This window comes from Homo sapiens, chromosome 13 (assembly GCF_000001405.40).
Source record: "Homo sapiens chromosome 13, GRCh38.p14 Primary Assembly".
NCBI lineage: Eukaryota > Metazoa > Chordata > Mammalia > Primates > Hominidae > Homo > Homo sapiens.
In genome coordinates this window covers 100,813,322-100,835,134 of record NC_000013.11, presented here as the reverse complement: position 1 = coordinate 100,835,134, position 21,813 = coordinate 100,813,322, and the positions used below count along the sequence as shown (strand labels likewise).

The 21,813-nt window shown below is 41.8% G+C and overlaps 1 long non-coding RNA gene across 1 annotated transcript in view; it reads right to left on the bottom strand.

Annotated features, from left to right (window-relative positions):
• Nucleotides 1-21,813, bottom strand: part of NALCN-AS1 (NALCN antisense RNA 1) — a 350,962-nt gene that overhangs the window by 224,152 nt on the left and 104,997 nt on the right. The window lies entirely within an intron of this gene.

Below are 21,813 nucleotides of genomic sequence, written 5' to 3'. Positions count from 1 at the left end.
TTGTCCTATTAGGGATGACTTTATTAAATGTCAGGAAGAAGGACATAAAAAGTGATTAATTAAACTGATTATAAAATGTTTTCAAAGTATCATAGATTTTCCAAGTAATTAATTCAAAACACTTTACTGCAATGCTAAATGGCATAGACACGGCAGTCTTTTGCTAATCAATGAATAGCTTACCTTAATCTGAGTTTATTGAGAGCATTTTTTTTCCCAATTCAGATATGTATATTCAGGTCCCTGGAGCAAGATCAATCTTGAAACAATTTGACCCTTTCTCAGGAGTGGGCAGCCCACTCTGATTTCAACTCTGAGAGTACACTGGCCACATTCCCTTAAAAAGAAGACTCCTACCCCAAAGGGAAGTTGTAGTAACATTTGCTGATAATGCCCATATTGTTGATATCAGTCAGGATTATTTGTTGCATCAAATATTTGTTGCAGAATGATCTCTGTCTCATTTAAGTAAGAACAGCATTTCTGAAAGAATATTGAGCATCTCACAAAATTACCAGAAGGCTGCAGAATTACAGTCACACTTATGGTTGTCTAAGACCATTGTCATACTCTTCTTCACTGGTGACATTTGTTGAGGCTTATCATGTGTCATATTGTTCTAAAAGGTTTACAAGAACTAATTAATATAATTCTCACAACAATCCTATGAGGCAACAGAGCAGGCTGAATAAAGGCCACGCAAAATATTCCACCCAAGAATATTACTCCTAATCCCTGGAAGCTGTAAATGTCACCTTACGAGGAAAAAACGTCTTTGCAGATGTGATTAAGGACTTTGGCTGGGGAAGGTTATCAAGGATCAAACTAAATTCAATCACAAATGTCTTCATAAGAGAGAGGGAGAGGGAGATTTGAAATACACAGAAGAAGACAAGGCAGAGATTCGAGTGATGTGGACGCACACCCAGGCATGCCAGCAGCACCAGAAGCTGGAGAGACAATGGAGGACTCTTCCCTCAGGCCTCTGGAGGGGGCATGGCCCTGCCAACACTGTAATTTCAGATTTCAGTCCTTCACAACTCTGAGAGAATCACTTCCTATTGCTTTAAGCCACTAAATTACGGTAATTTATTATAGCAGTGCCAAGAAACTAATACAGGTAGATAATATTTCTATCCTAATTTTGCACTGGGGAAACTAAAGCATGGAAAGATGAGGGAACCTGCCAAGGTAAGTGGCAGAGCCATGATTTGCACTCAGGCAGCTTAGTTGCAGAGCAAACCCAAATGCAGAATAAGAATCCATTCCACTGAAGACAAATCACTGCCATCTCCACAATGTAAGCAACCATCCACAAAGACACTGATCCCCCAGCCCACTTCTCAGCCCCCAGGATACATCAGAGACTCTGGGCTGGACACTGCTATTAGCAAAGTGGACACTTGGCAATGGGGGTAGCCAAGTCACGACTCACCTTTTCCATCAAGGGCATTTTATCATGAGTGTTTTGACCAAGCACCGGAGCTGCTGCGGAAAGAGGCTGCCTGCTAGACACAAAGCAGGTCCTTCAGCCTCCCGGCTCTTGGGAGTCCACTACGTATTGGTTTCCTGAGGGCTGCCAGATCAAAGTACCACATACTGGGTGGCTTAAAGAACAGAAATCTATTGTTTCACAGTTCTGGAGGCTGGAAGTCTGAGATCGAGGTATCAGTGGGGCTGGTTCCTTCTGAGGTTTGGGAAGGAGAATCTGTCCCACGCCTCTCCCCTGGCTTCTGGTAGTTTGCCAGCAATCTTTTGGCACTCCTTGGCATAGAAGCATCACCCCAATTTCTGCCTTCATCTTCATGTGGCTGTCCCTGTGTGCATGTGTGCCTCCAAATCCCCAGTTGTATGGGATCAGGGCCCACCCTGATGACCTCACACAATTTTTTGATTTTATAGAGAGACATGGGCCTTGCCTACCAACAAAATTCAACCTGTAGGAGATTCCTTAAACATAAAAAAGGATTCAATTGCTGTATAGCTGAAAGAAGAAGGAATGTACATTACACTGTCCCAATAAACAGATCCATCTGAGCTTTCAAAGCAAAATACCACCTTGAGTTGTTATAGTGATGTTCACTTTCTGAAATACTTTCTCTTCAGTACTTTCGGCTTATGCTAGATGGGAGGGCTGACCATCTGACTTTGAAATCTAAGAACTGAACCCACCGCCCTAGGTAAATGTCCAAACTTAAGACCAGGTGGCAGGACCCTGGTATGGTGGGAATCAGAGTCATTTACTCATGCCCTCATTTATTAATTTCTTCATTCATCTGATTCATGAAGTCCCTCCCCTATACCAAGCTTATTTTAGTCTTACTCCCAACACCAACACTGTGGAGCATTGAAAGAATGACCTTATTTCTTGGTAGCTCAGTTGTTTCCTCAATAGAATAAGATGATAAAATCTACATCATGAAGTTCTCTTATAGCCCTAAACTCTAGAAAAAGACATTTCTGAAAATGCTGGATGTTCTGGTATCTTTTATAGGGAATATTAACCAGTCTAAGTAGGGTATATAAAAATATAAAGGATCTCTTTTCCAATTAGGAGGTGATATCATTTGGCTATGTCCCCACCCAGATCTCATCTTGAACTGTAGCTCCATAATCCTCACTTGTCGTGGGAGGGACCCAGCAGGAGATAATTCAATCATGGGGGTGGGTTTTCCCATGCTGTTCTCATGATAGTGAATAAGTCTCATGAGATCTGATAGTTTTATAAAGGGCAGTTCCCCTGCACACACTGTCTTGCCTGCCACCATGTAAGATGTGCCTTTGCTCTTCCTTCTCTTCTGCCATGATTGTGAGGCCTCCCCAGCCATGTTGAACTGAGAGTCCATTAAACCTCTTTTTCTGTATAAATTACCCAGTCTTGGGTATTTCTTCATAGCAGTATGAAAATGGACTAATACAGAAGGTATGCCTTCTTTGAGGTCATTGGTGTTGACTGCACACAGTCCAACACTCCATTTCCTCAGGGTGACTACCCTTCTGTAGTTGGAATATGACAAGCCAGGGACAGTAGGCTGAGGTTCAGTACAGAAACGGGTCTTCCTGAGCTCATTACCAAGGAAGAGAGCCAGGTTCTGAGGCTGCTGAGATGGGAAGAGGCTCTAAGCATCAGAGGAAACTGCAAGCACAAGATTGTTTGATTGTAGATGAATGTTAGAATTAAGCCACTGCCACGAGAACTACTGCTCCGGAGACTTCAAGTCCAACGAGGACCTAGAGATGGCATCTCAGGAAGGGATGTAGCAGAGCCAAGGATGTGGAAGCACATACATGGTGCCCTTGACTTGCTAGTGACTCCAGACAGAAGTACTGGAGCTTGAAAGACTTTTCAGGGTGAGGATGACATGTGGTAAAAAAATATCAAGTTTCAGTTTGTGCATGAGAATGTTCTGGTAGAGGGCTTTAGCCCAACACACACAGAAGAGCTTCCAGAGAAGAGGCTATGCGTGGAATGCCTGATAAGGTGCCAGGAATATGACCCCCTGGGAACTATGGTTTAAATATCCTTGGGAGCACTGATATTGATAGTGATAGTGACCTCACAGGCTTTAGGACTCAACGTGGGACTCAAGAGGCATGAGACAAGGTCAAAAAACACAGCACACAGTGCAAGAGTCTAGATAGATCTGTGGACTTTGATAGAATGTTGGTGGTCAAGCTATCCTGGCTAACATGGTGAAACCCTGTCTCTACTAAAAATACAAAAAAAAAAAAAAAAATTAGCCAGGTGTGGTGGCAGGTGCCTGTAGTCCCAGCTACTCAGGGGCTGAGGCAGGAGAATGGTGTGAACCCGGGAGGCAGAGCTTGCCGTGAGCCGAGATCGTGCCACTGCACTCCGGCCTGGGAGACAGAGCGAGACTCCGTCTCAAAAAAAAAAAAAAAAAAAAACAAAGAATGTTGGTGGTCAAGGAGATGGAAATAATGACCATGAAACATGACCATCATTGGTTCCTTTTAAGGATAAGTAGACAAGAATAAGATTCAAATGCAGGTCTGACATTGAAGATCAGTCCATGAGGCAAGGAGAAATGGAATGCAAAATTTGCCAGGTGCGGTGGCTCACACCTGTAATCCCAGCACTTTGGGAGGCTGAGGTGGGCAGATCACCTGAGGTCAGGAGTTCAAGACCAGCCTGGTCAACATGGTGAAACCTTGTCTCTACTAAAAATACAAAAATTTGCTGGGCATAGTGGCAGACACCTGTAATCCCAGGCTACTCGGGAGGCTGAGGCAGGAGAATCGCTTTAACCCAGGAGGCAGAGGTTGCAGTGAGCCAAGATCAGGTCATTGCACTCCAGCCTGGGCAACAGAGCGAGACTCTGTCTCAAAAAAAAAAAAAAAAAGAAAGGAAGGAAGACAAGAAAAAGAAATGGGATGCAAATCTCTAAACCAGTGCAGAGATAGTAGGCAGTTGGAGAGGCCCACATGGCAAGCAACCAGTGGAGGCCCAGTTAGGTGGCATTCAGACGCCAGGATGTCTAACCACTGAGGGGGGCTGAGTTCTATACAAAAGCAATTCCCTTATTTAAGAAAAGGGGCAGAAGAAACAGTTATGAGAGATCTGAAGTACAAAGCAGGCATCAGTCACACTGAAGCAAGGCTAGATCTTGGTCACCATGTTTTGTATCACATGATTTCACTTGCCCCAGCCATGTTGATGGACTCAGAGGTAAGTAAGCACCTGACCTAAAGGCAGGCAGGCAGTCCAGAAACTGGGCAAGGACCAACGACATGGTCTAAAGTGAAACAATGAGCTGACCCCCTCAAATTCTCCCTCAGTGTATCTTAGGAAACATGGAGAACTGGGGCCAGTTCAGAGGGAGCTAAAGCTACGGGAACAAGAGAGGGGCCAGGGCAACCACAAACGGCAACACTCGAGCTGGAATTAAGAGGAAACAAGAGTTATATCTAAACAGCAAAAAGCCACATGGTGAAAAGAAGAATGAAAGGGACAGACAAGGGAGCAGAAATGCCTGGAGAAAGAGAAGCTGTGTGGTCTGTGAGAGTCATAGCACAGCTGGTCCTGCAAGCTGCCTTCAGTTTCAAATATGTCCTTATAATAAACATCCCTTTTCATGAGGTAACTCAAGGGAATCTGTTTCTTACAACCCAAATCCCCAGTTAAAACTGCAGAACCTAGGCCAAGCATGGTGGCTCACACTTGTAATCCTAGCACTTTGGGAGGCTGAGGAGGGCAGATGGTTCAAGCCCAGGAGTTTGAGACCAGCCTGGGCAACATGGTGAAACCTTGCCTCTACAAAAAATACAAAAATTAGCTGGGTGTGGTGGTATGCGCCTCTGGTGGGTGGTAGGAAAGATCAACTGAGCCCAGGAGGTCGAGGCTGCAGTGAGCTGAGATTGCACCAGTGCACTTCAGCCTGAGAGACAGAATGAGACCCTGTCTCAAAAAAAAAAAAAAAAAAAAAAAGAAAAGAAAAGAAAAAGAAAAACCATAGAACCTAGTGCCAGGGACCTTCTGACCAAGAACTCCTCCTACCTTTTTATGATGTGCAAGATGTGTCTGGGGTTAGGGTGGGGTAACATCCAGTGAAGGCTGAGTGGCCCTAACTTCAAGGTCAAAAGGCTTAAGAAATTGCAAGTCAAGGAGGTATAGTTGATCCACATGATTCACAGATTCTGTATTTGCAAATTTGCCTGCTTACTAAAATGTATTTGTAACCACAGGATCAATACCTGTGGCTCTTTCCTTGGTCATTTGCAGAAGTGCACAGAAAATTTGAGTCACCCAATATGCATGTTCCCAACAAGCTGAACAAGTTCAACTCTTTGCCTTCTCGCTTCAGTTCTCATACTGTAAATGTGTCCTTTTCACAGTCTATCTAGTGCCACCTTTTTATTTTTGTGCTTTTTCTTGGTGATTTCACTGTTTAAAATGGTCCCTAAACATAGTGCTGAAGTGCTAGCTAGTGTTCCTAATCACGGGAGGGCCATGATGTGTCTTATGGAGAAAAGATGCATTTCAGATAAGCTTCATTCAGGCATGAGTTACAGTCCTGTTAGCCGTGAGTTCAATGTTAATGAACCAAAAATGTCTATTAAAAAGGTGCCTTTAAACAGAAACACACATAAGGCAAAGTTATGGATTGATCAATTGATGAAACTATTATGACCAGAGGCTTGTAGGAACATAACCTTGTATTTCCCCTAGGAGCAATGGCTTAGCATTTGCTAATTCAGTGTTTTTGGTGACTTCATCAAACAGAACTACCTTGAACACCAAGAACTGACTGTATAATACTTTAATATCTTGTTGGGGAATGACCCCATCAATCATACTCACTGTTGTATCTTCGGTGTCAAACATAGCACCTGGTACACAGTAAGTATGCAATAAATATTTGTTGAACAGAGGAACAAACAAAGGAATTCACTCATTAAGAATCAAAACAACCAGCAGCCTGGGTCAGAAATTTTCTTTGCTCTTGAGAATCAATGGCAATGAGAGTCTTTCTAAAAAACATGAGCATCACTGCATAAGGGTGATAACCCTGTGGGTTTTTAATTATATCCTATATCCTACCAATTGTTACTACTGCTGCAAAAATTCCCAGTCTGTACTCAGTGCTTTCATTTCTAGAGCTGTTCGACAAGGCTTCACGGGCATCACATAAGCCTCAGACATGGCTTGTTGGTATCGACTGTTGCCTCTAGAGGGGGAAACAGACGTGGAGAATCTCATCTGCTTCTCTAGGGTCAGCAGTAACACAGGATTTGAAGCCCCTGGTGTGTGTGTCATGATCCTTAGCTAGGATTCATTTCCTCAAAATGAAGTCATTTTCTAAAGAGAATTATTTCGCATTTTGGTAATTGGAGGTGTCACTATAACCAGAATTGCAATTTTAGTGCTTCTGTGTTGGGGTAATTTGGGACTTAAATTTTACTTCATTATGTTTCATTATAAATATTTCTACTGTCAAAACAGAGTTCAGTTGGCAGTCTTTGCCCAGAAGCATCTCAGAACTAATTTAGCATGAGGAATTTAAAGCTGTCTTTCTCCAGCCTTGTTTTCTAGGTCGTCCTGGAAGCAACAAGAACAGGAGGATGGAGGCACACAGCATTCACGGCTCCCAGCATGCACTTTAATCTTCTCCCCAGCACAATTATCTTACTAGGCACTGAAAAATCTATTACCCCGATTTATAGCAGCTCTGGAATCATAAGAAAGCACAAATTGTTCCCATTTTGATTGGAAAAGATAAACTGCAATCACTTCGGAAGGAAGCTTAACACGGGAAGCTCTTGTCAACCGAGTGATTTTAGTTGGAGAATAAAGAGCTGGTCACAGAAGACAGCAGAGGAAGAAACAGTTTCTAGGGTATCATGGTTCTGATCACAAGTGAGGCTGTACGTGCTCACTTGCACAGGCTGGAAAGAATATTGCCAAATGTGAATTTAGCAAGATTAATAAATGACTCATATATTGTATGTCATGTTCATATTAGCGACAATGAAACAGATTGCAAACACCAAGTAAAGTGATTAACACAATATTTGCCATGCCCAGAGAAGCCAGAAATACTATTAGAGTTCCCTCTTTGATTTTAAGCTTGGGTGTTAAGAATACAGGCTAAAATATTAAGCAAACATTTGCCCCATTCCAGGGCATACGGCTTAGGGAAAGGAGTAGCAAAACTAGAGAAGTGTTAAGTGCTTCAGTCTTACAGGAAGACAATTTTTAAAAAAAAATTTTAGAAACAACCTGTCGCCCAGGCTGCAGTGCAGTGGTGCCATCATAGCTCACTGCAGCCTTGGCCTCCTGGGCTCAAGTGATCCTCCCTCCACAGTCTCCAGAGTAGTTGGGACTACAAACACATACCACCAAACAGCAAATTTTTAAAAACCTGTATTTTGTAGAGACGGGGTCTCACTATGTTGCATAGGCTGGTCTTAAGCTCATGCCCTCAAGCAATTCTCCTGCCTCGATCTCCAGATTGAGCACTGGAGTTACAGTTGTGGCCAACACACCAGCCAGAAGACAAATTTTAGAGTAAGCAACGGAAGCTGCAGAGAACATTAAAGGGAACACGGAACTAAGAGTACAAGGACCTAGGTTTGAGTATCTACCTGTCTATCCAAAATGGCTATACCACTTAAAATAAGCCATTTGGATTTTCTGGGTCTTAATTTTGTCATCAGTAAAGTGAAGATAATTAAAAACTTTCCTCTCTACAAAACAAAGTTAGAAAAAAATGCTGTAAAACCATGCGCAAGGTTCTTAGAAGTCTGCATATTAGCTTTGTTTGACATTTAAGGGTTGGAAGAAAATTATCTAATGTAAATTTAATTTTTTATAAATGCAATTGTTCTTAAAGAGACTGTTCACTCAGATTCTTGCCCTGTACACAGTCGAGGCAGTTGTGCAGGCAGAATACATAGTGAAAATAACCGAAGTCAGGACACCTGAATTACTTTCCCAGCTCTGCCACTGACTAGCTATGAAGTCTGAGCGCATCACAGCCACTTTAGATATGAATTGAGTCATCTAGAAAGTGAAAGAACTGGACTAGGTGTTTCTAATGCCCTTTCCAGTTCTAAGATTTTATAAAGGACTTTTTTTTTTTCCATCTGTTGTTCTTAGTTACAGATACCTCTGATCCCTTCCCATGTTCAGGGATCTTGTTTATTTCAACTCCACTGGAAGCAGCAGGGCAGAGAGGACCACTGAAAGCGAAAGAATGAATTTATTTTCTTCTTCATTTCCGAGGTCCTATTATAATTCATGGGACGTGAAAAGGGGGATGATTAAATTCAGGATTTCTGATTTCTTGATAGAAGATTATTTGGAAGGAAATTTGACTTTGCCACGCGTCGCAAACTCCTGAAAGTGATCATATTTGAGCTGACTGGTTGTATAAACCTGTGTTCAATAAAAGCATATCGATTGGGCAAAGCAGTCTTCCAAAGCTGAGAGAAAGGATGCAGAGAGCATGAGGCGGGGTAAGAGTACTCCTCAGACTTCAATAATGTATTGTTAACTGGTGTAATCTTCTGAGAAAGTGCAAGACCTCAAATTAACAGCACTGAATTGAGTCTAATAACTACATTTCACAACATCATATCTACTCCTCAATCAATACTTAATTTTCTCATACAGCCCTCGGCCTCCTGCAAGCTTTTATTGTGTTTTGCAGAGAATAGCATTGACCTCGAGGAATGCTGGTCACTTACAACCCTAATACCCCCAAAAAGCCAAAGGCATCTTGAAATATTCCCGAGACAAATACAGGCTAAAATGCACACCCAGGATAAAAATTGTTCTACCACATTCATTTCCATATTGTGTCAGATCTGTCTGATCTTCATCTTACTGGAAGCCTAAAGTGACTCAGGTTTGGAAATCAGCCTGCACTTTTAGAAGTAACTTTAAGAGACTTGGCTTGAAGTCACATGAGTCAAATCAGCAAATTCATACTCTGAGTCGCTTTTTGCTGCCTAAATTTCATATTCTACAATCCTGGAGCTTTGATCACAGAAGTTCAGCAAGTCTAGAGGGAAAATGACTTTTTCCATTTCAGTTAACAAAGATTACTCTGGAGTGTGGCAGGAGGATTAACTCTGAATCTTTGGGGACTTTCTTAATATTTTGCTCCAGCATCTCATTGTTGTACATTACATAGCACAGGTATTATTCGGGATAGGAAGAGGATTTTCCAAAATAAATAATCTTTTTTCTACTTACTCATTCAATTCATAAATCAGGTGCTGAGTTGACATTCCTTCCAAAGATAAATAATGTGAAGGGGGCAGCTGTCTCTTCACATTTCCCAAAATGTTCTTTGGCAATAATCAAGTGTTGCTCTTCCCAGGGTCTGGTTAAATACCACTTTAACATTTCTATTTATATGAGGTTTCTGTTGTCAATATCACAAATTACCACGAACTTGTCCACATCCAGCAGGAAAATGGGTGCATCCTTGTCCCAGCCTTTCCAGAATAATTATTGAGATTCATTATGATTAAATTGGCTCAGGTTGCACGATCCCCCCTGAACCAGTCCCTGAGAGCAGGGTAGATGGCTTAACCAGGACATCATGTTCCAATCCTGGATCCAGACAGAAAGCACAGCTCTTTCACCAGGATAAGTGTAAATGGATCTTGGGTAGCAAAAACATTGTGCAATTGCTGGACATTACTGTATTTAAAACTTTTCACCAGCTTCATTATAAACTTATGAGTGCATTGTATTCTTAACTATTACTTCATTGTTGGACATTTTAGATTGTTTCTAGTGGCTTATTAATAAAAAGTAGTTGCCCAAACAATAACTTTGCCCTGGAATATTCTTTTTATTTAAGATCGTTTTCCTAAAATATATCTGCAGCAACAGAACTATTGAGTTAAAAGAATAAACCCTTTCAAGTCTCTTAACACACATTGCCAAATTTCTTTCCAGCAAGCATTTTTCACTTTATTTTTCTGCTACCATTCTGTGAGAATTTCCACATCGGTGCACTCTTTCCCAACATGAAGCATATTCGTCTTCCTTCATCTGTGCCAATTTGAGAGGTTCAAAGAAGACCCAGAGGGAGCTTGATAAAATCAACGGATCTGATCATGTGACTTTGCTGTATACAGGATTTCAATGACATCCTGCTGCCTTGAGGACCAAAGTCCAAACTCCCTGGGATGATGCACAAGGCTTTCTAGGATGTCAGCCCCAGTGGTCTCCCCACCTTTGTCTCTGCTGCTTTCCAATCCAGCCCTGGAAAACTGAACAACTTAGAATTCCTCAGACTCTGCATCTGCATTCATATTTCTACGTGTTTGCATACACTCTTTCTTTCTCTCCTTATCATTCTATTTCCAATCCAAGAATTCCCTCAACCTGTACATAACATCTAATTCAGGTCTCCATCACACAGTATTGCATTAACCCTTTGCATGATGACCCTTTCCCATACAAAAATATTTTCTGTGGCGGGGGCCAAAAATATATATTTTTGTGCAAATACTAGGCCCTGGCACAGTGTCTGACACCAAAAAAAAAGACATACAGTAAATAATCGTCAAATGAATCACAAGTGGTGATGGAAAGAGAATGGATATTGACAAAAAAGAGTGAAAAGAAAATTGATAACGTACAAAGAAAATCTGCATTTGTCCTCTGTGATCTTGAAACAATATTGAAGCATTCTGAGCTTCCTTCTTCACAACATTATTTTAAGATCATATTGAGTATATCAAAGTGCTATGTGACTCTCAGATGGTATAATAAATAATACATTTTAAAACATTCTTTAGGGTTTTGAGAAGCCCTGGCTCTGCAATGCTTCAGGAATGTCCCAGTGTTTTATCACCTTCACAAACCTCACACAATCATATGGGGGAGGAAAAAGTGGCAGATGGGAAAATAAAGAGTATTTAGGAGAAATTACAAGCAGACAGCACTCTGGGGGTTCTAGGGTGAGCTCCAGCTTTTCTATATAGAAAGCAAATCTAGAGTTGTAGTAAACAGTGCTGCTGAAAGCCATTAACTCGACGTGTTGTTGGGGTTGAAATGACTAAAAGAGACATTTTACGCTTTCTGGATGAGGGTTGCATAGAAAATGGAACTCTGGAAAAGGGAGTGTAATCAACAATACAGCCAGTGCAGAAAGGCTGTGTACCACCTCACAAAAAATAAACCCAGAGAAGAGGCCAAGAAGGGCAACTAAGTGATCATAGGAACAGACCAACATCTAAGGCCAAAAAAGATTCATTTAAAAAGATAAATTGGCTGAAAGACTCCAAAACATGCCTCTACCTATCCGCAGGCTGCAGCCCTAATTAAGGCAACAGAGCATTATGCGGAAGAATGAATATTCAGAAGAATGAATATGCAGATTATGCATATCAGAGCTGATTGATGGCTTTTTGGCCCTTCAGCTGGCAAACACTGACCCTGGCACCCAAGAGAGGCCATTTTCACAGCTTCTGGAAAGAGAGGCTATTTTCACGGCTTCTGGAAAGAGAGGCTGGGTAAGACAGCTGCTGTCACTTCCCATAAGCCACTCAAGAAGTGTGGCCGCATGCACCTCAATGGGTTCTGATGGGCAGAGGCAGGGCCTGGAGCTTGCGGACATTACCAGGATGTACTGAGGATTAATTAGACCATGTCTCTAAAGTACTTTGAAATCCTTGGAGGGAGGTCTTTTAATTATAGTATTGGCCGGGAGCAAGTGGAAAAATAGATAGGGAAATAATACCAGTTTTGTCTGGGTAGGAAGGAAGAGACACCATTTGGATAATTTTCTTGCCTCAAGTAATGTATCTCTGTTCTTCCTCCTCCCTATTCTAGAACCTAGATATTGCTTGGATGAGACACAGCAACGTTATGTTTCCATTTGCTCATGGAGGGTGCTATAGCTGTTTTTTGTGTTTTTTGTGTTTTTTTTTTTTTTGAGACAGAGTCTTGCTCTGTCGCTCAGGCTGGAGTGCAGTGGCGTGATCTTGGCTCACTACAACCTCCTCCTCCCAGGTTCAAGTTATTATCATGCCTCAGCCTTCCATGTAGCTGAGATTACAGGCATGAGCCACCACATTCAGCTAATTTTTGTATTTTTAGTAGAGACGGGGTTTTACCTTTGTGGCCAGGCTGGTCTCAAACTCCTGGCTCATTTGATCCACCAGCCTTGGCCTCCCAAAGTGCTGGGATAGTTGTTCTTTTTGTTGACATTATTATTCAGATGTATTACTCTTCAATTCATTTTTGAAAATTGCCTTTTAAGAAGTAAAGATGCCTCTTTTCTCTGCCTATTTAAACTTTATGTTAGTTGTATAGAAAGAGCATATTTACCTTAATTCAGTTACAAGATTTGGTTTTAGATGTAATTCGTTTGCTGTTAAATTTATTCCGTATTGAGGAGTAAATACCGGCTAGTAACTGCTTGTCAGAGGCACGTGATGCTATCTAAGTTTCTTGGAAATTAAGTTGTACTTCAAACTTCAAATGAGAAAGCCAGGCAGTGCTTTTTATTTGTGACAACATGAGCTGGTCCAACTCTAAGTTTAAGGAGTTTGTATTGAGACATCCTCCAGAAGAGACTGAAATAATCCGAATTTTGGCTCACACAGCATTGTGCTACATTTAGTCATTTGTATTTAGGAAATAGGAGGTTTGACTTTGTTTCCATTATCATGTCAGGATTAATCATTTAGGATTAATCAGTTCAATTAATGATATTAATTAGGAGGAAGGAATTAGATTATCATCTAGACTTAGGTTCTAATTTTAATAAGTTAAAAAATAATTTGGAGTGATGGGTCCTACCTTGGCACTATGGGCCTTAGAATGCAGAAAGCCGCATCGAGTTTCTCCAGGTTGATATGCTAAAAAGTGAGGGTGAAAAATGACAGGTGCACACTGGACTTGCAGGTTTGCACAGTGCTTGGCACAGATATGCCTCTCATTCCTTGCAACTTGCCGTTAAGGCAGGAATATGAATGTGGGTTGAAAGTGGATGAATGGAAGCTTGGAAAGGGAATAAGAGAAGCCCAGGGCACAGTCACTTCCTGTAGCTCTCCAATTCAAAGGCATCCCGGGTGTAAGCCCACAGTTCAGTGTATGGCTGAGATGAACTACCTGGCGATTAAACTGCAGCCAGCTGCCTTCAGGCATCAAAGGTCTTCCCCTGGGGTATCCAGAGGCCCTGCCTACATGTTAGTAGCCATATACGAAACCATGGGTGTCTACTTAGGAATTATATACCCCCGGAGGCATCCCTAAAGGCAGGTGAGGGCGTCCAGCCAACATTTGCAAGGTCTGCTCAAGTGACTATTTTCCTGACACTCTGCAATGCAACACAGGAATATTTTTATCCTTAATTATAGAAGAAGCAACCTGAGTGAGAGAATTTAGACCATTTGACAGATCAATAAAGAAAAATGAAATCTCCACAGGTCAGGGATTTGGATGCTTTTGCCTTAATTGCTTGAGGATCAATCTTTCTAAGAATCTTCCCAGAGCCCTTGTCAGGCCCTCACCATGGCCCCTCCCACCTGGCCCTCTGGGTCAAGGGCATACAACACTGGATTGGATGATTTCCAACTATGGATCATCTTTTTCATTTGCATTATGATTTCATCTTTGATCCATTGGGCTATTTAGACATGTGGTTTAATTTCTAAATATATAGGGAATTTTTCAATTTAATCTTCTTGCTATTGATTTCTAACCTAATTGCATTGTGGCAAGAGAATGTGGTCTGAATATTACCAGTTCTTTGAAAGTAATTGATAGCTGCCTATGGCCTACTATATGGTCAATTTCAGTAAACATTCCATGTGTGCCTGTGAAGAATGCATATTGGGGCAGAATTTTACATATGTTCAATAAATCAAGCATGGTAATTGTGTTATGCAAATTTTCTTTACCATTTTTCAGTCTGTTTGACATATCAATAACTGACAGAGATGTGTTGGAATCTCCCACACTGGTGGTGGGTTTGTCAGATAGTTCTTCAATTTAGATCTAACAATTTTTGCTTTATATATTTTGAAGATATTTTATTAGGTGCATACACATTTGAAATATTAAATCTTCCCAGTAAATTGAATCTTTATTATTAAAAAGCGATCCTCTCATTCCTCAATAATGCTTCTTGCCTTAATGTCTACTTTTGTTTGATAGTAATATGACTGTCACAACTTTCTTTTTAATTGTATTTGACAGGTATATATTTTTCCATCCTCTTTCAACATTTCTGTTCTTATAAGAAATATTTCTTAGAAATGTCATTTCACTAGATCTCTTTGTGTTTTTCCCCAAAATCTGTTTTTCTGACAATCTCTTTTAAGGTATGTAAATTCAGCTTATTTACTATTTTTGAGATAAATAATATACTGAAATTTGTTTCTATTATCTTATTCTTAAATTTGTATTTGTCTCTCCTTTTCTATGCCCCTTTTATTTCCCCTTCTTAAATTTTAATGCCTCTTTTTTCTTTTTTCTTGGTCTTTTGGGATGGACTGAAAATTTTTATTTGTTTTATCATATTTTCCATTTATTCCCTTTACTGGCTTGGAAATTAAAGCACCCTAAATCTGATATTTTACTGCCTTTGAAATTGTGCTATGCATCTTTAACTTAAAGTTTAGTAATAGATTATATCTTAACCTCTTTTCCAAGGAGACAAGGACTTCAGAGAAATTTTTATATAACCACTATTCTTTCCCTGATACAACTGACAAACACACTTGACAAGTGCTTCCATTCTGGGACTTTTTTAAAAGACGAAAATGAATCATTATTCTCTAATTTACAAACTCTTTGCTTCAATGTATGTATTTGCTATTTTATTGGCTCTGCATTCCTTTTTGCCTCTGAGACTTTCCTTCTGTGATCATTTTTTTTTCTTTCTGAAATACACCCTTCAAAGGGTTGTTTTATGCTATTTGGAAGAGGTAAATCCTGCACACCTTTATCTAAGAACAAAAGGTCTCTATTTCTCTCTCAGTTTTAAAAGATAATTTTTCTAGATATAGAATTCTAAGATAACATTTCTTTTCTCTCATGAATATATTATTCCACTATTTTCTGTCTTCCATGTGACTATTGAGAAGTCCACTCACTAACTGACATTCTTCATAGGTAATCATTTTCTCTGACAACTTAAAAGTCTTCTCTTTGGCTTCAGTACTGTAAAATTTCACTATGCCTTGTCTTGGTATGGGATCAATATATTCATCTTTTTCAACAGTCTTGCAATTTCCCAGCAGTGATCTCTTCAAATGTTGTCTGGCTTGATTCACCCTATTCTCTCTTTCTAGAAACTCTTAGATTTTTGGTATACCTTTTCATTCTGTGCTCCCTCCTAAATTTTATTTTACATTCTCCATCTCTCTTCTCTGCATCTGCTCTAGATAGTTTCTTCAAATATATCTTCTTGTAATTCTCTTTTTAGATGTGTCTAATTCACTGTCTCATTATCCCACTAAGGATTTTTTTCAACAATTATAGTTTTTATTTTCAGAAGTTCTCTTTTGTTCTTTTCTGAATTGTTTTGGATCATCCTGTCTCCTGTTGCTGGCTCATGTCTGTGAGTTCATCCTCTGTGAGTGGGGTAAGGGTTAACTTTCTAAGATAGACACCCTGAAGTTTGGCCTCCCAGAAAAGAACTTGGCCTCTTGCAAAGCTCCATGGAAACCAGCCACAGCTCAGTGCTTAAGACAATCAATCCTATTCAACCTCAAAGGTTGGCCTACAGCCCTCTGGCCATGCCTGGGGATACGCTGCACTTCCTCATCCATGAACACTGAGTTGGCAGACCAGCGCTGGAGCCAAAGTTCTGCCATATCATATTGCTGTTGTATCTCTTCCCAACCAATGCGATCTAAAAGCCCCACAGCCCAAGGTTAGGGTCCTCCTGTGGACTCTGATGTCTGCCTCTGTACCACCCTAACTCAGTGGATTTTTCCCAATAAACACTATCTCATCTCCATGAGTTGGTGCCACATCTCAGTTTAGTACCAACTTCCAGATCAAGATGCTGTTGTTGGCATCTGCTCCCAAGATAACCCTTTCCTCCTGCTAGCTTACTGCTCAAGCCAGAGGTTAGTTTCAGTATTCTCCCCTCCATCACTGACATGCTTTGAGAGGAAGTTCCCCAAGAGCTTTGGAGAATGCTGGGAGAATGCTAGGATCTAAAACGTTGGTCATAGGCAGTTTGTTCTCATCCCTGCCTGCAGATTAGAATCACTTGAGGAGCTTTTAAATATCCCAGTGTCCAGGCAGCATCCAAGATCAATTATATCGGAATCTGTGGGTGTGGAACCCAAGCATCAGTATATGGATGCAAAGACAAATAATTCATATCTCTGTCCTGGATAAGCTCACAGACACAGGAGGAAACAGATAAGCAGACTATCAAAACAATGTGACATAGGCCATAATAAAGAGCTGAAGTGGATCAGAATATACAACCCCAAGATATGCCACTTTGGCATATGTATTATTATGAGCTGAAGGCAACTGAGAATCAACAGATACAGAAAGAAGACTTTTCAGAGATTTTCTTATCTGACTAAAAGCAGAAACTTCTGAGAAATGAAGACTGCCATAAATCTTCTCTCCAGCAGTTTTATAGCCATGAAGAAGATGAAAGGTCACCAAGATGAGTCTGCAGAGAGAAACCTTGCTAAAATAACCCTTATCTTCCATGAGTTTCCACACACACATTCACCTTCCCACAATTTACCACCACCCCAGAAGCCTAAACCTCCCTTTTCTTTGTCTAGTCACTTCTCCACAATGTATTACCCTTTGTTAAAATGGTATATAAGCTTCCAATCTAACTACTTCTTGGGGTTTTCTCTGTCTTGTGAAGCTCCTGTGCACAAAAAATATTAACATCATAAAGAAACATACCTTTTCTCCCGTTAACGTGTCTTTTGTCAGTTAATTCACAGTCCCCAGTTACTGAGTCTGAGTAGAGGAAACACTTTTCTGCCCGCCCTACCACCCACCCCTAGATATGTGTATATGTATTAAGAGCAGAGAGAACACAGTTTTGGAGCAGGACACGTGGTGTGGTGAATTCACCATCACATCCTTATCGCTATGAAGAGTTGGGGGCAGGTCGGGGGCGGAATTTCAGGGACAGATTCACAGAAAAGGGAGGGGATGCCTGTGCTGTGTTGAAGATTAAATAGAAGTTTGGGTTAAATGCAGTGGCTCATGCCTATAATCCCAAAACTTTGAGAGGCTAAGGTGGGAGGATCACTTGAGGCCAGAAGTTTGAGACCCATGTGGGCAACATAGCCAGACCCTGCCTCTACTCTCTCTCTCTCTCTCTCTCTCTCTCTCTCTCTCTCTCTCTCTCTCTCTCTCTCTATATATATATATATATATATATATATATGTGTGTGTGTGTGTGTGTGTGTGTGTATATTTTATATATATAATATACATGTATATATTATATATGTATATGTATATATGTATATATGTATATATATGTATATATGTATATAAATAAATAAATAATTAGCCAAGCATGATGGCATACACCTGTAGTCCCAGCTACACAGGAGGCCAAGGCATACTCCAGCCTGGGTGACAGGGTGATACCCTGTCTCTAAAAATAATTCTTAAAATAAAAAATTAGAATTTGCCAGGTGGGAATAATTCTGGGCAGACAGAACAGCAGAAGCAAGGCACACAGGCACAAGAGAGCGGAATGCCTCAGGCATTTCAATACAGCTAGAGAACAGGCAGTGTCAGAAGCCTCTTAGAAAGATAGGAAAGGCCTGAGCCAGGAGCTCAGACTTTTTTCAGAAGGCAATGGAGAGGTATTGATGGATCATAAACACTAATTACTTGGTTAGATTTGCATTTTAGTGACAGGTGAGGAAACTACACCCCAACTACTGTTCACGTTGCTGTCATAAAGAGGCTGGACTATCATTTTCAAGTGTGGCTTTTGGATGTGCATGGAGACCACAGGGCTAGGCCACACCCTTCTAGGTAAGGAGTGTGGATGCCCCTGAAGAAAATAGAGTACGACTATCAGCCCCCTTGGGAAAATTGGAGATTCTAGGACAGAAATAGAGGGCTTAGAGGTTTTTTGTGATACCAAAGGGCAGGGAGATCTCTACAAATGCCTAAAGGAGCTCCCTGCATGAAGAGGACACATGGTCTCTGCCATGGTACAGCAGAGAAGAAGCTGAGCAGGGAGCATAAACAGGTAGCAAGACCCCCCACTTCCCCCAGCATCTCTGAGCATCTCTGGTAACAAGTACAAAACAGCTCCTTGTATTGTCATTCGCTGTTTTTCCACGGAGAGAAAGAGGCTTTTTTAAGTGCTTACGTGCCAGATCTGGTGTCAGCTGTGAGGAAGGAAATTAAAGAAAAGGGTCTATGTCCTGAAGTGCCATAGGAAAATAGAGCTATAAACGTCGGCAGAGGTAGCAGCCATGAGTAATGGCATCCCCAAAGACAGGTTCGATCTCAAGGACGGGAGCAGGGAACATGTGGTCCAGCTGACCCTCCCAGCCCCAAAGCATCTTCTCCACCATCTTTTAGGTAGACTGGGATGTCATGTTATTAAGAGAGCCCAGGGGTCCTCAAATATAGTGTGGGCCAGGGACCACAGGGGAGGAGACTGGAAGCAGGAAACTCTGTTAAGAGGATCCATGCCTAGTTAGGAAATGACAATGACCTAAGACAGTGAGGATGGAAAGGAGGGGAGGAGAGACATTTAGGAGGTAGACTGGCCAGGGTATAGTAAAATAGGCCAGATGCCAGGAGCAGGGGGAGAGTAATGATCTTGCAAATGAGAATAAAGGGAGTATGCGTGAGAAGCAGCAGGGAAACTTCCTGAGGAGTGTAGCAGAGAAAAAAATTAAGTTAACTGGGATGCAGCCTTTTCTAGTTCAGAGAGGCAAGCTTTAAAAGTAAGGGAGCAGAGACTTGGCAGGAAATAAAGGATTCCACTCTTCTACACAATGAAGACAAAAACCATGCCCTGTCTTCTCATCTGACAGGTCCCAGCTTGCAGCTGAATACGTGTTTAATGAATGAACAGAAGAAATGAAACCTTTAAACATATACACATATATTAGCAAATGAAAACGTATCAGTCTGGCAAAGTGAGCCTGCTACATAGTAAGAGTCAGGATTCAAACCCAAATTAGTCTTGTTCCAAATCCTATGTTCCTTCCACCATGACATCCAAGGTGCTAGGGGAATTTGGGATGTTTTTTTTTTTTTCCATTTGGTTTTTTTCACTGAGAATGTGTCTCACCTTTGTTCCAACAGCACAGCTCTCTTCATGAGGGCCACATGCCCCATGCCATATGACGGACGTGGTATGTGTACAAGGAGATTGAACCACAGAAGTGCCAGGCATTACACAGCTAATCAGGATGTGGAGCTGAATTCACCACACCGCCTGTCCTGCTCCAAAACTGTGTTCTTTCCACCATGAAAGGCGGATTCAAAGCCTGCCTTAGCTTCTTAGTGGTCATTTTCTCAGCCTCGATTTCCTCCTCTACTCAACAAGGACACCACAAGGCCTCACTAACAGGGCTGCTGTGCAAGCTAAGTGAGGGGATGCATGCAGAGAGTGGGGTGCAGCCTCTGGCACAGAGCAGGTGTCCTCACTACTGTCTGTCTGCATGGTGGGCAGAGTGATGGCCTCCAAGGACCCCACATCCTAATCCCCAGAACCTGCGGATATGTTCGGTTGTATGGCAAAAATAACTTGGCAGATGTGGTCCACATTGTGGACCTTGTGACAGATCTGGAGGAGCCTGGATTATCTGGGTAGGCCCAAGAGGATCACAGGAGTTCTTAAAAGTAGAAGGAGGAGGCCAGGCACCATGGCTCATGCCTGTAATCCTAGCATTTTGGGAGGCCAAGGCTGTCAGATCACTTGGGCCCAGGAGTTCAAGACTAGCCCAGCCAACATGGTGAAACCACATCTACTAAAAATACAAAAATTAGCAGGTGTGGTGGTGCATACATGTAGTCCCAGCTACTCAGGAGGCTAAGGCAGAAGAATTGCTTGAACCCGGGAGGCGGAGGTTGCAGTGTGCCAAGATCATGCCACTGCACTGAAACCTGGGCAACAGAGCATGACTCTGCCTCAAAAAAAAAAAAAAAAAAAAAAAAAAAAAAAAAAAAAAAGGCCCAGCTACTCAGGAGGCTGAGGCAGGAGGATCCCTTGAGCCCAGGGGGGTCGAGGCTGCAGTGAGTTAGGACTGCACCACCGAACTCCAGTCTGGGCAACAGTGAGGCCCTGTCTCAAAACAAAACAAACAAAAAAGTAGAAGGAGGAAAAAGAAGAGAATTAGAGAGAAAGATATAAAAAATGAAAAAAGAAAAAAAAATGTAAGTGAGAGATGATGGAGACCACGCTGCTGGCTTTGAAGATGGAAGAGGCAGCCACGAGCAAAGGAAGGCAGGGAGTCTCTGGACTCTGGAAAAGGAAAGACAGCAGATTCCCTAGAGCCTCCACAGCAAGGAGGCTGCCATCACTAATTCTAAGCCATGTCTGACTGCCGACCTGCAGAACTACAAGATAATACATTTGTATTGTTTAAGCCACCACATTTTTGGTAATTTTCCCAGCAGCCATAAGAAATTAACACAGTCTGGAGGAGCTAAGGATGCTATGCTGTTAGTTGTCCTGCACGTCAGAGTCAGGCTTCTTCAGAAGTCTACTAGGATACACTATAAGCCATCTCAGGGCAGGGACTATGGATGATATCTGCAAAGCTCTAGGAGCATCACTTGATTCTGTCTGTGGGACTTCCTAGGAAATTCGGCCAATGCATCAGACCACTAGGAAATGCCTCTAAGGGAAGAGGCTGTCCCCTCAAGACCCCTCCTCTGTCACCCCACCATCCAAATACAGGAGACTGGGATTCCAGCAACTAACCTCAGGCTCTGTCAGCAACTCAGAGCAGGTGGCACATGAGAGGATGATGGGTCTGCCAACATGTTACATACCTTGCATGTCCCTTGGGCTATGAGAAGTGAGCATAGGTTTCTTGCATCCTTTCCAGGAGTAAGCATGTAAGGGCCTGTGCCTGTGTCCCCCTGAGACAGGGGTCATTCAGGGTGGTTGCAGGAGAATAGAAAATTGCCAGCAGCAGTTTAACCTGATTAGCAAAAGGAAAACTGTTGAAGTAGCTGCAGAAGCTTGAGGCTGTAAGACTCTGCACAACCAGGGTGTGGGCCAAGCTAAGACTAAGACCAACTAGACCCAACATGGCACTGGATTTGACCTAGGTTTCTCCTAGGAGTTTGTGATACACTCATTAATATGCTAAATATATTAATATATTAAACAC